This window comes from Homo sapiens, chromosome 8, assembly GCF_000001405.40.
Source record: "Homo sapiens chromosome 8, GRCh38.p14 Primary Assembly".
In the NCBI taxonomy this organism is placed as follows: domain Eukaryota; kingdom Metazoa; phylum Chordata; class Mammalia; order Primates; family Hominidae; genus Homo; species Homo sapiens.
This window is the reverse complement of record NC_000008.11, coordinates 37,734,649-37,748,757: the sequence shown is the minus strand read 5'-3', so window position 1 is coordinate 37,748,757 and position 14,109 is coordinate 37,734,649. Positions and strand designations below refer to the sequence as shown.

Below are 14,109 nucleotides of genomic sequence, written 5' to 3'. Positions count from 1 at the left end.
TATCCTTGATAAGATCCCGGAGGGGCTTAGAGAAAAAGACAGAGTGAAATCAGGCTGGGACTTGTACACTGCATCTCTCCTTTGCTGTCAGCCGCCATCTGCTTTAAGTGGTCCTTTCGTGGTCACCTGTGCTCAAATAAGAGCCTCTGAGGAAGAGAAAGTCTCCGCTCTTTCACTGATGCCAAAACGGAGGCCCATGAAAGCTGGCTAGTAGCAAAAATAACAAGCTTGTTTAACTGGTGGGCCTTGATTGTTAGGATTTTAAGACAGTAGTATCAGTAAACAAGGGACGGTAACGTTTCCACATATAGGATGTGCTCTCACAAGCCTCTGAGCACCGAAGGAGAAATGCCATCAAGTCGGCACCTCACACCTGCCAGGGGTCAACCAATTTAACAACTAGAACTAAATATTACATTTCATATTTTAAGTAATTTTAAGTAGAATACCAACCAAACTTTAAATGGCCCGTATCCTCCATAAGTTAATAACGTCATTCCTCAGACCAAATTATATCTGTCAAGGTGGAAACCTGTGGCCCTGGGCTAGTAGCTTACCGGAAAAATGTGAAAGAAATACTTTTCAAGTTGTTTTAGTAATATTGATGTTTATATGTTATGGAAATGTTGATAAATGCCATTTAAATTGTATTACTAAGGTAGCCGCAGGGAAAAGGCGCAAGGCGCGCTCGTGACGTCATTTCGGCGCGACCCTCTTCTTTGCGTAGAGTTTTTCAGGTTGCTCCTGGAAACCATGCCGAAAGTAGTGTCTCGGTCAGTAGTCTGCTCTGACACTCGGGACCGGGAGGAATATGACGACGGCGAGAAGCCCCTCCATGTGTACTACTGTTTGTGCGGCCAGGTGGTCCTAGTGCTGGACTGTCAGTTAGAGAAATTGCCCATGAGGCCCCGGGACCGGTCCCGTGTGATTGATGCTGCCAAACATGCCCATAAGTTTTGTAACACAGAAGACGAAGAGACTATGTATCTGCGGAGACCTGAAGGCATTGAACTACAGTACAGAAAGAAATGTGCAAAGTGTGGACTGCTGCTCTTCTACCAATCCCAGCCGAAGAATGCTCCCGTTACCTTCATTGTGGATGGAGCAGTCGTCAAGTTTGGCCAGGGCTTTGGGAAAACGAACATATATACTCAGAAACAAGAGCCTCCTAAGAAGGTGATGATGACCAAACGGACCAAAGACATGGGCAAGTTCAGTTCTGTCACTGTGTCTACCATTGATGAAGAGGAAGAGGAGATTGAGGCTAGGGAAGTTGCTGACTCGTATGCACAGAATGCCAAAGTGATTGAAAAACAGCTGGAGCGCAAAGGCATGAGCAAGAGGCCACTGCAAGAGCTGGCTGAATGGGAAGCCAAGAAAGTGAAAATGAAGGGGACCTTGATTGACAACCAGTTCAAATAACCAGGCTTTTTTTCTGAGCCCTAGACTGGAGGCAAGCATTTAGATCAGGAGACAAAGTAACTTCTTGATTACATAGACTGGTTCCTATTTATATCCCAGCAGAAGGCTTTATGTTGTTTCCCATTGATTCTCCTACATGCAGTGAGGTCTTTAACTGAGTCCATTTGACCTGCTTTCTAGGAGATGGATTTTTCTCTAATTTTTTTTCTGTATTTAGATTTTCTTTACTATTTTTTGTCCATTTGATGCAAACTTCTTCAGCTGTGTAGAAACTTTATGAATAGATAAGTGCTTGAGTGTCTCTGGTCTCTAAAGTGGCTGGTTTTATTCTTTCTTCAAAGTTAATAACATGTTTCAAGATTTTTGGACAAAATATTATGGTACGTCATAGAGAAAAGCAGCGTGAATTATATTTAGGTATAGCAAGTCAGATCCTTTGAAGTGACTCTGTCTCTGTTCTTAGAAGGGTTCTTGGAATTGGTTGTGGTTTGAATCTTTCTACTGTCAGAGGAGACCCACTAAAAACCAGAATCTGCATAAAGCTTTCTTTACTTAACACACTGAAGCTATAGGTGAGCCATCCCATGTCAGACTTTATACTCAAAGAAGGAAAAGCCAAGTTGCAGTGAGCGGGTAAGACAGCTCAGATCCGAATGAAAATGGGGTCTGAATAAGTAACCCAAGGGAGCTGCCCTCTAGTCGGGCAGCTAGTATTGCTTCCTTGCATGGATACATAGGAGGGATACATTATAGATTAATAAATGATAGTGAGATAAACAAAATGATCTGTTGTGTATCTTTTACTTTACATTTGCTATTTACAGAGGAGTGTTGTATACATAGGTATTATTTTATGTCACACTGCTTCAGTGATAACTATATCCATGTGTTTGTATCCATGTTTTTATCCATTCAACTGTATTAAAAGGTGTTGGGACAGGAAAAAAAGTTGTATTACTAAGTACACACAAAGAGGTTCTTCAGGTAAACTTCAAAGTATTAGATAATACTTTAATAACATGGGCAAAGAGGATGCGGCAGAGTAAGAAGTGATGAAAATTATGCAGCTTCATGTTTAAAGTCTGGGCTATAAGAGTCCTGAGAGAAGGAAAGTATAGAAGAACCTTCTGAGTTGAAGGGCCAGGACTAGAGACATGAGCTCCTCCTTTATGGATATGACAGATTCTAAGCCAAGTAGTGCTTGCTAGCAAGACTGAGATGTAAAAATAAAAAAGTTTCAAAGCAAATATATTTCCCCAGCTCCTCCATACAAGCAGCTGTACTTCACTAAGCTACCAAGTTTAGCTGTAAGAAAGTAAGAAGTTTGCTAATGAAAAACAACTTTGTATTTTAATTTCCTCTTCAGGGACATTAGGGATCCTTTGTCTTTTTTCAGTGCTTTGAAATGTTCATGTAATGTCACAAGTCCTAAGACAATGGCTAGAGAAAATTAATATTTTATAAAATTCTATTAGTTTGAGGTTAAAAAGAAAAATCAACGGCAAATTTACCAACTTTTTCTTAAAAGCACAGTGAATCCAAAACAGATAAAAGACTACAAACCCTATAAAATGAATTTAGATTCATTTTCTACTGCAGAAACATTAAAAGTAATTTGGATGATTTCCTAAATCTTAAATGGTGCAAAAGGCGGTTTGCTTAATTATGATTGCTGGCGATGTGGATGAGTCCTCCTGTCTGCTATGAAAAATGTTCTTGCTCAGGGTCCCTTTTATGAAGATTCCTGGGAAAAATCATTTTCCAGTCCTAGTGTCAAGAACAGTTATACTATTGGTTAAAAATTCATTTACTTTTGGCATTGGCTATTAGAGAATTTCTGGCAGTGAGTTTAAACAGAATACTTGACTGCAAACAAGTTATAACAGTTACCCAACTGTGTCCTTCCTTTGCTGCTAAGTCAGGTTGCCTTTACTTTGAAAAAGGTAAAAAGGACAAAACATATCTACTTAGGCACGTGGAATCTTTTTGTTTAAAGTGTTTTTCTATTCGTTGCTACAGGTACAGAGTAAAAAAATAATAATCACAAAGGTTCTGAGAACTGGAAGGAGCTATGGTTCTCATCTCACTTCTAGAATTAACTATGAATCATGTCTTTTTCATCACCCATTCCTGGGGGCCCTCCATTCAGTGTTGCATGGTGAGAAGAATGCTGAAGAGCCAGGAGAGGAAGGCTCCTGTTTCAGCCCCACTACTAATTGGCATCTGGCTCTGTGACTTTCTTGCTTTGGGTCACAGTACCCTCAGCTTAAAATGAGGATGCTGGTCTGGACAATCTCTAAGGTTCTTCTAGAATGGACCTTGTCTTCATTATAGAATGATAGTTTAGGAACAGTGGGAACACATTTCCACTCCAGCCTCTGATTGAGGCCAGAAGTGAATACTCTACTCCACTATGGTCCCTGTGCCCAAAGCTCCAGCCCTCTAAGGATCTTGTTGCATAGCTATCAGCATTCTCCATGAACTCCTTTGTGACCAGCTCCTGAGCACAAGATTCTTTAACATTTCCTGTCCATAAGTGACCATCACACCCTGCAGGCAGCCAGGCTTTAGGCAGTGGAGAGACGCGGGGTTCCAGGAACCCTGCTTAAGCACGGCATGCTCAGGAGAGACTTTCTTACCAAACAGCTCAATGTAGACCTCTTGAAGCGTGTGCACACTGCAGAACTGGTTCAGTTCGTGGTGGATCTTGTTGAAGATGAGGGCCTTGTCATAGTCAGCAGTATAGTTCTTCACTATATCATACACTGAGAGGGAAGGAGAGGGCTTGGCATAAGAAAAGGCAAGACTCAAAATGCCCTCAGACACGGCAGCTCTCCTTTTCCAAGGTGCTACAACAGACACGGGAGTGGCATGCTGGGGAAAGTGAGCTGGTGGTGGGAATAAACTGTTAAGACGTACCTGCGTTCGGGACCAGGAAGTTCACCACTTCAATTCTGTCAAAGTAGATCATCACACCACCACTATTGGAGGGAGAATGGACAAGAAGTCACTGGGAAGCCTTAGAATATGGTGCAGTCCCCCAGGGTGATGGCGTAAGATGTGGGGCTTGGCAGAAAAGGAGTAGAAGAGTTCACGGGAAGTTGGAAGGCAGCTTGGATCTCCAAGTGGGAGGTTCTGCAGGGCTCATGGCAACAACATACTCTCCTGAGAAATCACACTGCCTAGGAACATCTCTACAAAGACATGAATGAGACTTTTGGGGACCAGTACGAAAGAGTAACTCATATCTTTGGAATCAGCAATGCCTTTTGATTAATCAGTTGCACGGAAAAGACTAAGGAGGGTCAAGGTGAAGTTTTCAGAACTTAGAAGGTTACTGTGGAATGTTATGATCAATGTTTCTTAAACTGTCTTCACTATTACTTTGGTGTCACACTCCCTTTGCCCTCAAATATTTATTATAAAAAGATTTCAAACATAGAGAAGCCGAAAGAGTAGTATAACTAACATCCATATCCAGATACCTGAATTCAACACTGATAACATTTTACCTTATTTATTGACCTTTTTTTTTTCTGAACATTTCAAAGTAAGCTGCAGTTAGGATACTTTACTCCTTTACTTTGGTGAGCACTGTCTTAAGAATAATCATTCTCCTACACACTCATGGTATCATTCCCAAGCCTAAGAAAATTAGCAATAATTCTGTAATATCACCTAATACCCAGTCCTTATTCAGATTTCCCCAACAGTTTGTGTTATGGACTGACCTGTGTATGCCTCGCCCCCAGATTCATATGTTGAAGCCCTAACCCCCAATGTGACTGTATTTGGAGATTAGACCTTTAAGAAGGTAATTAAGGTTAAACAGGTCATAAGGGTGGGCTGTAATCCAAAAGGTCTGGTATCCACCAAAGACCTTTTTCTCTCTTCTTGCACATACAGAGGAAAGGCCTTGTGAGGATGTGACAAAAAGGTGGTCACCTGCAAGCCAGAAAGAGAGGTCTCACCAAAACTACCCCTGCTGTTACCCGGATCTTGGACTTTGGGCCTTCAGAATGGTGAGAAAATATCTATTATTTTAGTCCCTTGGTGTGTAGTCCTCTGTCATGGCAGCCTGAGTGGACTCATATAGTTTCTGTCGTATCTGTTATAGCTGTTAATTTTGAACCAGGTTCTAATCAATGCTCACCCTTGCTTCTGTTTATGTTTCTTGTAAGTCTCTGTCCAATCCAGCATCCCTCTAAATACAACCACTTTGTGAAGAGATCAGGCCTGCGATCTTGTGGGATGTTCCAATTCCGGATTTGTCAGAGTGTTTCTTTGTGGTATTCTTTGTCACTCTATCCCAGTTTAAACTGTCTTTGCTTTCCAGTGGGACCGCTGTAGCAGTGTTCTCTTCGGATCTCTTTGCCCTGAAGGTCTCCCCTACCTTTATGACATTCTCTTTAGTTATGCAAGTTATCTTCTTGTATCAGGTCATTTATCTGCTAAAAACCTTTGTGCATCCTCACTTCTTTTTTTGTTTTTAACGTTAAAATTTTATTTTATTTTCCATTGTTTAAATTCAGAGGTACATGTGCAGGATGTGCAGGTTTGTTACATAGGTAAACGTGTGCCATGGTGGTTTGCTGCTCAGATCATCCCATCACCCAAGTATTAAGCTCAGCATCTATTAGCTATTCTTCCTGATGCTCTCCCTCTCCCCACCCCCTATCCACTGACAGGCCCCAGTGTGTGTTGTTCCCCTCCATGTGTCCATGTGTTCTCATCATTCAGTTCCCACTTATAAGTGAGAACATGTGGTGTTTGGTTTTCTGTTCCTGCATTAGTTTGCTGAGGATAATGGCTTCCAGCTCCATCCATGTCCCGTGCAAAGGACATGATCTTGTTCCTTTTTATGGCTGCATAGTATTCCATAGTATATATGTATCACATTTTCTTTATCCTGTCTATCGTTGATGGGCATTTGGGTTGATTCCATGTCTTTGTTATTGTGACTAGTGATCCTCACTTCTTTTTTTTTTTTTTTTTAAAGACGGAGTCTCACTCTGTCGCCAGGCTGGAGTGCAATTGTGTGATCTTGGCTCACTGCAATCTCTGCCTCCCAGGTTCAAGTCATTCCCCTGCCTCAGCCTCCCGAGTAGCTGGGACTACATGCATGCACCACCACACCCAGCTAATTTTTGTATTTTAGTAGAGACGGGGTTTCACCATGTTGGCCAGGATGGTCTCGATATCCTGACCTCATGATCCACCTGCCTCAGCCTCCCAAAGTGCTGGGATTACAGGTGTGAGCCACCGCGCCCGGCCGATCCTCACTTCTAATAGAGTAAGTGCAAACTCCTTATCACATACAGCATTCTAGCCCCTCCTGAACCTTCTATGATTTCCTCTACTGCACTCCATCACCTGGTCAAATCAATATAGGGAGCTACGAGACAGGGAATTAACCAAGAAAGGGTGCCTCCCTTTTCACTGTCTCTTCCTGCAACCAGCCAGACAGCCTTTTCTCTGACTTATTTGGGCTTAAAAGCTTTATTCTGGGTACCTTACCTAGTCCCACAAGGTACATTCTTCACCTCATCTGTCTGGAGTGTGGTCTGGAAACAGAGGAAACATAAAGTGCTAGAAGATGGGCAGTGACAAAGTAACTTACTTTTCAGAATCCTAAATGCCTTTGTCCTGGAATAACTGTTTGGGTTGAGCATGGCCTTCATTAAACATGATTACCCCACCTAATCCTCCTTCCTCACAGGGTTGCTAAGCCAAGTAAAGGCCCGTGCCCCAGCCTCACTATAAGTGAACCACCACATCAACAAGCTGAGTAATAATGGTTTAGTGAAGATGACACTGGATTGGGCATCTTAAGACTTGTGCTTGCTTCTACCTCTTCTATTTATGTTAGGCACCGCTTTATGTTCGAAGGCCCCCAGTGGATGCTTGAAACCGGGGAGAGTACCAAACCCTATAACACATACCTATGATAAAGTTTAATTTATAAATTAGGTACAGTAAGTGATCAACAATAATAAAATAGAACAATTATAACAATATACTGTCATAAAAGTTATTTGAAGGTGGTCTCTCTCTCTCTCTCTCAAAATATCTTATTGTACTGTAGTCACCTGTTTTCAGACCATGGTTTATTGTGGGTAACTGAGCCTGTGGAAAGTGAAATAGTGGATAAGGGGGAGGGCTGTTGTACTAGTTTTGAAACAGCAGATTACCTATTTAACCTGTCTCAGACCCTAGCACATGCTCAGCCCATTCTCAGGATTACTACAAGACTCAAATGAGACAATGTACCTGAATGCAGTTTGAAAGCCACAAAGCCTGGTAAACAGCACATGAAACTTACAGGGAAAATGCCTAGCAGGTATCCCAAGACATTCTCCTGGGTCAGTGTAAAGTGTAAAATCTTGTTATTCTTCTTAGCTGGACATACTTCAGAGATGGCAAGTCCAACTTAGCCAGGCTTTAGATCTGCCACAACTAACCTCACTCCTATTTTAGATGTCACCTCCCCTCACTTAGTTTAACTCCTCCCCACTCACTGCAAAAATTATGTTCGTATTTCTGAATTCAAATAAGAATCAGCAAAATTACTATGTTTTCTTTCCATTTAACATGGTAGCCTGTGATTTAAAACATACACACATAAACCCTGACTTTTCTTTCCATATACTCAGAACAGGTTCTTCTCTGGCTTTATCTTGAAGGAATAATCCCCAGCCTCATTTTATATATATATAGTGTATGTGTGTATATATATATATATTATATATATATAATATGTATATATTATCCTTATATCATTCTCTAGAATGGCATTTTACTCATCCAATGGCTAAATAATTTCAAATCATGCACTAGTTAACAGCCCAAGTTTGCAGTCGTCCAGCCATACCACAGAGGCCAAGCATACCTGCACAGACTTATATGATGTGATGAAAGGGAGCATGAGATGGAAACCAGGGCCGCTGGTCGAAGTCAGCAGGGCACCGCCTCTGCAGAGGAGGGGGAAGAGAGAGGCAGCTTCAGTTTGGCAAGAAGGCTCTGTTAGATCAATATCATGAGGGTCAACTTTCCCTTCAGCCCTATAAACATATAATAGAGAGTGACATGTGCTGCAGCCATGGCTACAGATCCCTTTCTTCCTCTCAGCTAGATCCTAATATTCTAGGAAGCCTGATGGTAAAACATAAAACTATTGTTCATGCTTTTGCAAGGAGAAAAATAGGCACATAGGCTAAATGGAATAAAGACAGCAGAACCCACTAGTGCAGTCCCAGCGCTTTGCGGGGCTGAGGTGAGAGGATTGCATGAACTCAGGAGTTTGAGACCAACCTGTCTCAAATAGTGAGACCCTGTCTCTACAAAAAAAGAAAAGGAAAAAAATTAGCTGAGTGTGGTGGTTGTATGCCTATAGTCCCAGCTACTTGGGAGGCTGAGATGTAAGAATTGCTTGAGCCTGGGAGGTTGAGGATGTAGTGAGACATAATTGTGCCACTGCACTCCAGCTTGGGCAACAAAGTGAGACTCTGTCTAAAAAAAAAAAAGAAAAAGACAGCAGAATCCATGGGTATACTTAGATAAGAGAAAGTCTGGCCAGGCGCGGTGGCTCACGCCTGTGATCTTTGGGAGGCTGAGGTGAGTGGATTATTAGGTCAGGAGTTCAAGACCAGCCTGGCCAACATGGTGAAACCTCGTCTCTACTAAAAATACAAAAATTAGCCAGGCGTGGTGGCAGGCACCTGTAATCCCAGCTACTTAGGAGGCTGAGGCAGAGAATTGCTTGAACCTGGGAGGCGGAGGTTGCAGTGAACCAAGATCTCACCACTGCACTCCAGCCTGGGCAACACAGCGAGACTGTCTCAAAAAAAAAAAAGATAAGAAGTCTGTTTTACTTTGTCATATCTGTTGGGCTTGTGGCAATCCATTAGGGCAGTTAAGTCCAGTAATATGGTTATCAACTACCTGCACTAATGCTGGAGTCCAATGACATGACCAACCAAAAGAATAATTTGAAGTACTTTATAAATAATTGAAATATATGTTTTGGCAATAGAGTTACCTTTCTAATCAAGTTATATGTAAATGATGAAGTTAAAAGCCTTTTTGGGGAACATGTAAGCAGATGATGGGGAGAAAGAATTAAAGGAGAGAGGAATTCCAATCAGAGTTTTAGAACTTGCTGTTAGCAATCCAGAAACAAGCATCACAACAGCACATATAAGAAGAGTTCATAAAGACATAAAGCAAAACACTTGGTCATGGAGGTTACTAAAAAGAAAGCAACCCAAGACTTATAAGTGCTTCTTTGCTTTATATTAGGCAAAGAATTAAAAAAAAAACCAATAAAATAAACAGTGACATAATGGGTTCCTTTATTGTAGGAACCACTATCCTAAGGCTTGCTTTGATTGACGTAAGTCAACCTGCAGGCTCTTTCATTTTTCTTGAAATGTTAATATTATTTTATTTTTAGAGACAGGGTCTTGCTCTGTCACCCAGGCTGGAGTGCAGTGGTGTGATCATAGCTCACTGCAGCCTCAAACTTCTGGGCTCAAGTGATCCTCCCACCTCAGCCCCCCAAATAACTGGGATTACAGGCACGTGCTGCCATGCTCGGCTAATTTTTTACTTTTTGTAGAGATGGGCTCTCACTATGTTGCTCAGGCTGGTCTCAATCTCCTGGGCTCAGGTGATCCTCCCATCTAAGCCTCCTGAGTAGCTAGGACTACGTGTGTGTGACACCACAGCCGGCCAATTAAAATTTTATTTTTTATTTTATTTTTTTAGAGATAGGGTCTCACTATGTGACCCAGGCTGGCTGAAATGTTAATTTTAAAAGAGCATCCCAAATTAGCAGAGTAGGCTACCTTCTCAAGTTGCCATCAAGAACTGGTACTCAGCTGGCTTTTGTAAAGGTAACCTAGCAGTGTAGAGCTAAGACTGCCAGAGGGATGTAGAGCTAAGACTGCCAGAGGGATGTAGAGCTAAGACTGCCAGAGGAATGTAGGAGAAAACAGTATTTTAGGGATGATCAATGAGGAGCACCAGTTTCCTTTAGATTTTGTCTCTAAATCTATATACACATTTATTAATCACCACCCATGGCATCATCTTGGACTACTAAGTGAAGTTCTAAATTTACATATATATGTGTGTGTGTGTATTCTCTTTCCCGTGGTTACTGACATAAAAAGCTCCATCTGAAAAGGCTCCCCTATTCAAGGAAATATAAATAGAGATGTTCAGCAGAATCTGCTAGGAAAGCAATGACCAGGAAAGGGAGCTATTTAACAGGAAGTTGCCGGCTTCTCCCTGTCTCTGCCTTACCTGTAATATACCCCAATATGTCCCTCTTCTATCTTGTGCACAGCTGAGAAGAGAGATGCACAAAAGAAACTGGAAGCCACAGCCACAACTGCTCCCAACTGAGCCATCAGTGAGCCTTTATCCTAGGGAAAAGACACGGGAAAATGTGTGTGGTCCAACGTGCAGGAGAAAAGGCCACAACAGCGAGAGGACCTCACCAAGCTGAGCTCCCTGCGAGTGACTCATATCCAGCCTGGTGTCGTGTGAACACAAGGCTAGATCTACAACTCGCTTCCTCCTCGTTCTCAGTCAACGTTCCCCTTTCTTTAACTGTAAAATTAGAGCCCCCACCGCACTGAGGAAGCACTGGCTCCGGATACAGCCGTTGCTCAAGGGAGAACCCGTGCCAGCTGGGTAGGGTTCAGAACACAGCCTTGTCTTCCTGTGAACACGAATGTGCTGTCACTGAACCTTTCCTACCAGTAGTAGGGAAGAGAGGCAGCTGCAGTACTTTGGCCCAAATTACAGAGGATGCCAAATGACAGGCAGTTGTGGCTATGTAATTCTGGTCAGAGTCTCCCACTCCTAATTGCCTGCAGTTTCAAAGGAAACCATTATTTACTCCTTTCAGATGCTGGAGTGGCAGAGCCAGCAGGCGAGCAGAGTTTCAAGGTAGGATTCGTTGGCCTCGCATCCACCTTCCCAGTTATTCCTTTGGCCCTAAACAGGACAGGGCTCTGAACAAGCCTGAAGCCACACTCCCCCCCATATACTTTGGCACTTTGCACCTGACAGATCCCCAAGCCCGTGGTCAGAGAGAAAGGCAATGTCCCAAACTGCGAGCCTCTAGGCTCCTAGGTCCAACCGCGTTCAGGCACCAGGACGCGGAGGAGTGGGATCCTGAACGCTGAATGATCTGGAACTATGGTGACTGACTGCAAAGTTCAGCTGTGCGTGCGTGGGCCCGTGAGCGCAGGGCGTGGATTCTGCCTCCCAGGTCTAACGTAACCGGGGCGCGGACATCTGCGAGGCGCTTATTTTACCGTGGCGGCCTCCGGCTACCGATCTGCAGTTGCGTCCTTTCCTGCCAGTGCCCTTCCCTCCCCGAGGTCACTCGCGCCCCTTCCCCGCCCCGTTCCGAGAGAGGGTCAAGCGCCCTGGTCTGGGGCTGCGGCTCCAATAGCCTCCGCTCGGTCCCCCTGCGGCTCGCAAGGAGAGGACGCGACAGAAAAGGGTTTCTGTCTCTCTCCAGGAGCGGGCCGGCTGAGGGAGAGAAGCTGCTGGGACTGAGGTTCCCGAAAGTGACGGGTCAGCCCCGACCCTGAGCGGCAGCTAGGCCCAGCGCGCGCACGAAGGGGCGGGGGCCGCGTACCAGGCTGTCCCTGCAGGCGCTCCGTACTCGTCCGAGCCCACGAGCAAGAAAACCGTCACACCCCTCAGCACGCGACTTCCTTCCGGGCCGTCGCTTCGATGACGCCATCAATTCACGCGAGAAGACCACACCCCCGCCCCGCGCTCGCTCTGCGCCCCGCCCCTCGCGCTCCCAGCGGTCAATGGCCGTAGCTGGCCGCCAGGGATCGCCCGCGACTTGGTCGGTGCGGTCCTGGACCTCGGTCTTGGGTATCCGTCCTGGGGCTGGGGATGAGGGCGGTGTTGGTGGGAGCTCCCCGAGAGCGAGCGGCAGGACGCGCATGCCCCGGAGTACTGAGACCCAGGGCGAACCTTTCCAAGGCGTTGACTTTGGGGATTGCTCCGGATTTCCTTCTGCATTAGGCCGAACCTGGTTCGTTTTGGTTTTTTTAGAGACAAGGTCTCGCTCTTTTGCCCAGGCTGGAGTGCAGTGGCACGATCATAGCTCACTACAGCCTCGAACTCCTGGGCTTAAGCGATCCTCCCACCTCACCCTGCTGAGTAGCTGGGACCACAGGCGCACGCCACGACACTTGACAATTTTATTTTTAGTAAAGACAGGGTCTTGGTATTTCTGGTCTCAAACTCTGGCTTCAAGCAATCCTCCTGCCTCGGCCTCCCAAACTGCTGGGATTACAGGCATGAGCCACCATGCGCGGCCTTTTTTTTTTTCTCTCCTTGATAAGGTACTGGCGAGTTGCAACTGTTTGCTTTCCTATAGCACAGCTGAAATGAAACAGTCTTTTCAATGTACAGATTAGCATCATTACCTCACCAATCAAAAATCCCTACCTTGAGTTGTTCTTTATATTTTTCTGGGAGCTTTGGCCCTTGGGATCCTGCAACGCCACAAAGTATATTAACAAGGAATTATTATTCTAATTTTAATGAACGGAATCTAAGAAGTTCAGCGAGGTTCAAGGGTAAAAGCCAAGGAAAGTTTCCTTTGTGTTTCCTTAATATCTTGAGTTCACTGCTTTTTAAACTCCTGCCACAGTGCACAGGGGCTAGTGCACTTCGTCTTTCTAGATAAACTGTACGTTCCCGGGAGAGCAGAGACTGACTTTCCTTCCGCACCCCCGGGGCTTAGGTGCCCAGTAAAAACAGACTGAAGGCAACGTGGGACCAGGCCCGGAATCCAGAGTTTGTGTCTCCTAGTCTAAGGGCCTCACGTTGTCCTCCACCTGCCCTATTCACCAGCATCACATTGGGGCATTTCTAATTCAGCCACTGAGGTTATTAATATTTTGTTTGCAGGAGAGAAAGAGTCCACTTAATTATAGCCTTCAGTAAAAGAAAAACTTTTACACCGGGAAGATGGCAAGCTGGTGGTGTTAGACAGATTTAAGACTCAGGAAAAGGGAAGTGTGGTTTTTTCCAGGCATGCCTGCTTGGGATTGGCCCGTTTACCTTTCCTGCGTTTGCTCTGGGTGTTGGGATGTTTCAGCATTACATGGTGAAACCCATACGAGGGTTACATGGTGCTGTCTGGGAGCTCTGTGCCCATCTCCATAAATGAAGGCCTTTCATCTCCCTACTCTGTCCCTGCATCCCCCACCCCAAACAGACACAGCTGGCCAATCTCTCGATCAATCCTATCAGAACTTGAGTTTTTTCTCTCCCTGTTCAGTGATATAACCTCAGCTGGGCATGCTTATTTAATAGTTTATTTAATAATTGAGTAAGAAAAATGGAAATATTAGGGTTCATCAACCCATGAAATGGGGGCTAGCCTGCAGCATCAAGTATTTAAATTACTTGTAATTTAAGAATTTCCTTTAACCAACCTCTGGCAACCCGTCTCCCCTCCCCTTCCCACAAATATGTATATTATTATGTGTCAATTAAAAATAATAAAAACACAAAAATTTCCTCACATTAAACTTTGGAGTGAATTGTGGCTAGAAGTTTTGGGATTTTGTTCTTAGGAGTCATTTTACCAGACCTGAGTTATTTAGTTGTGGACGTGCCTAAAGGCAGGGGGATGGACTT

General features: G+C 44.3%; 1 protein-coding gene, 1 long non-coding RNA gene and 1 pseudogene across 9 annotated transcripts in view, besides 2 other annotated features; 2 read left to right on the top strand and 1 right to left on the bottom strand.

Moving 5' to 3' along the window:
- ERLIN2 (ER lipid raft associated 2) overlaps positions 1 to 12,124 on the bottom strand; it is a 21,789-nt gene extending 9,665 nt beyond the window's left edge. The window contains exons 1-7 of one of the 7 annotated variants that reach the window (XM_047421307.1): positions 11,751 to 12,124; positions 11,330 to 11,427; positions 10,729 to 10,850; positions 8,312 to 8,393; positions 6,940 to 6,986; positions 4,342 to 4,403; positions 4,062 to 4,187 (exon numbers count right to left, since the gene is read on the bottom strand). In XM_047421307.1, coding sequence (XP_047277263.1) covers positions 4,062 to 4,187; positions 4,342 to 4,403; positions 6,940 to 6,986; positions 8,312 to 8,393; positions 10,729 to 10,835 — 424 coding nt within the window. In that variant the 5' untranslated portion in view covers positions 10,836 to 10,850; positions 11,330 to 11,427; positions 11,751 to 12,124. Of the gene's footprint in view, positions 1 to 2,207; positions 3,190 to 4,061; positions 4,188 to 4,341; positions 4,404 to 6,939; positions 6,987 to 8,311; positions 8,394 to 10,728; positions 10,851 to 11,329 lie in introns of those variants that run through there. The other 6 variants (NM_001362880.2, NM_001003790.4, NM_001003791.3 and 3 more) reach the window with 6 other exon arrangements.
- On the top strand, positions 712 to 2,204 carry LOC728024 (STING1 ER exit protein 1 pseudogene; annotated as a pseudogene). The gene has a single exon (NR_003671.2). The product of NR_003671.2 is annotated as an STING1 ER exit protein 1 pseudogene (transcript).
- Positions 10,770 to 11,562: an enhancer, noted in NCBI's record as "H3K27ac hESC enhancer chr8:37594714-37595506 (GRCh37/hg19 assembly coordinates)". NCBI's record gives its function as "activates a minimal SCP1, AML or CMV promoter by ChIP-STARR-seq in primed H9 embryonic stem cells {active_cell/tissue: H9 hESC(primed)}" and the evidence as "EXISTENCE:reporter gene assay evidence [ECO:0000049][PMID:30033119]".
- Positions 11,332 to 13,997, top strand: LOC102723701 (uncharacterized). Its single transcript, NR_125821.1, has 2 exons — positions 11,332 to 11,379; positions 11,960 to 13,997. It is a non-coding gene; the product is annotated as an uncharacterized LOC102723701 (long non-coding RNA).
- Positions 12,042 to 12,251: an enhancer, noted in NCBI's record as "active region_27228". NCBI's record gives its function as "activates an Ori minimal core promoter by ATAC-STARR-seq in GM12878 lymphoblastoid cells {active_cell/tissue: GM12878}" and the evidence as "EXISTENCE:reporter gene assay evidence [ECO:0000049][PMID:35858748]".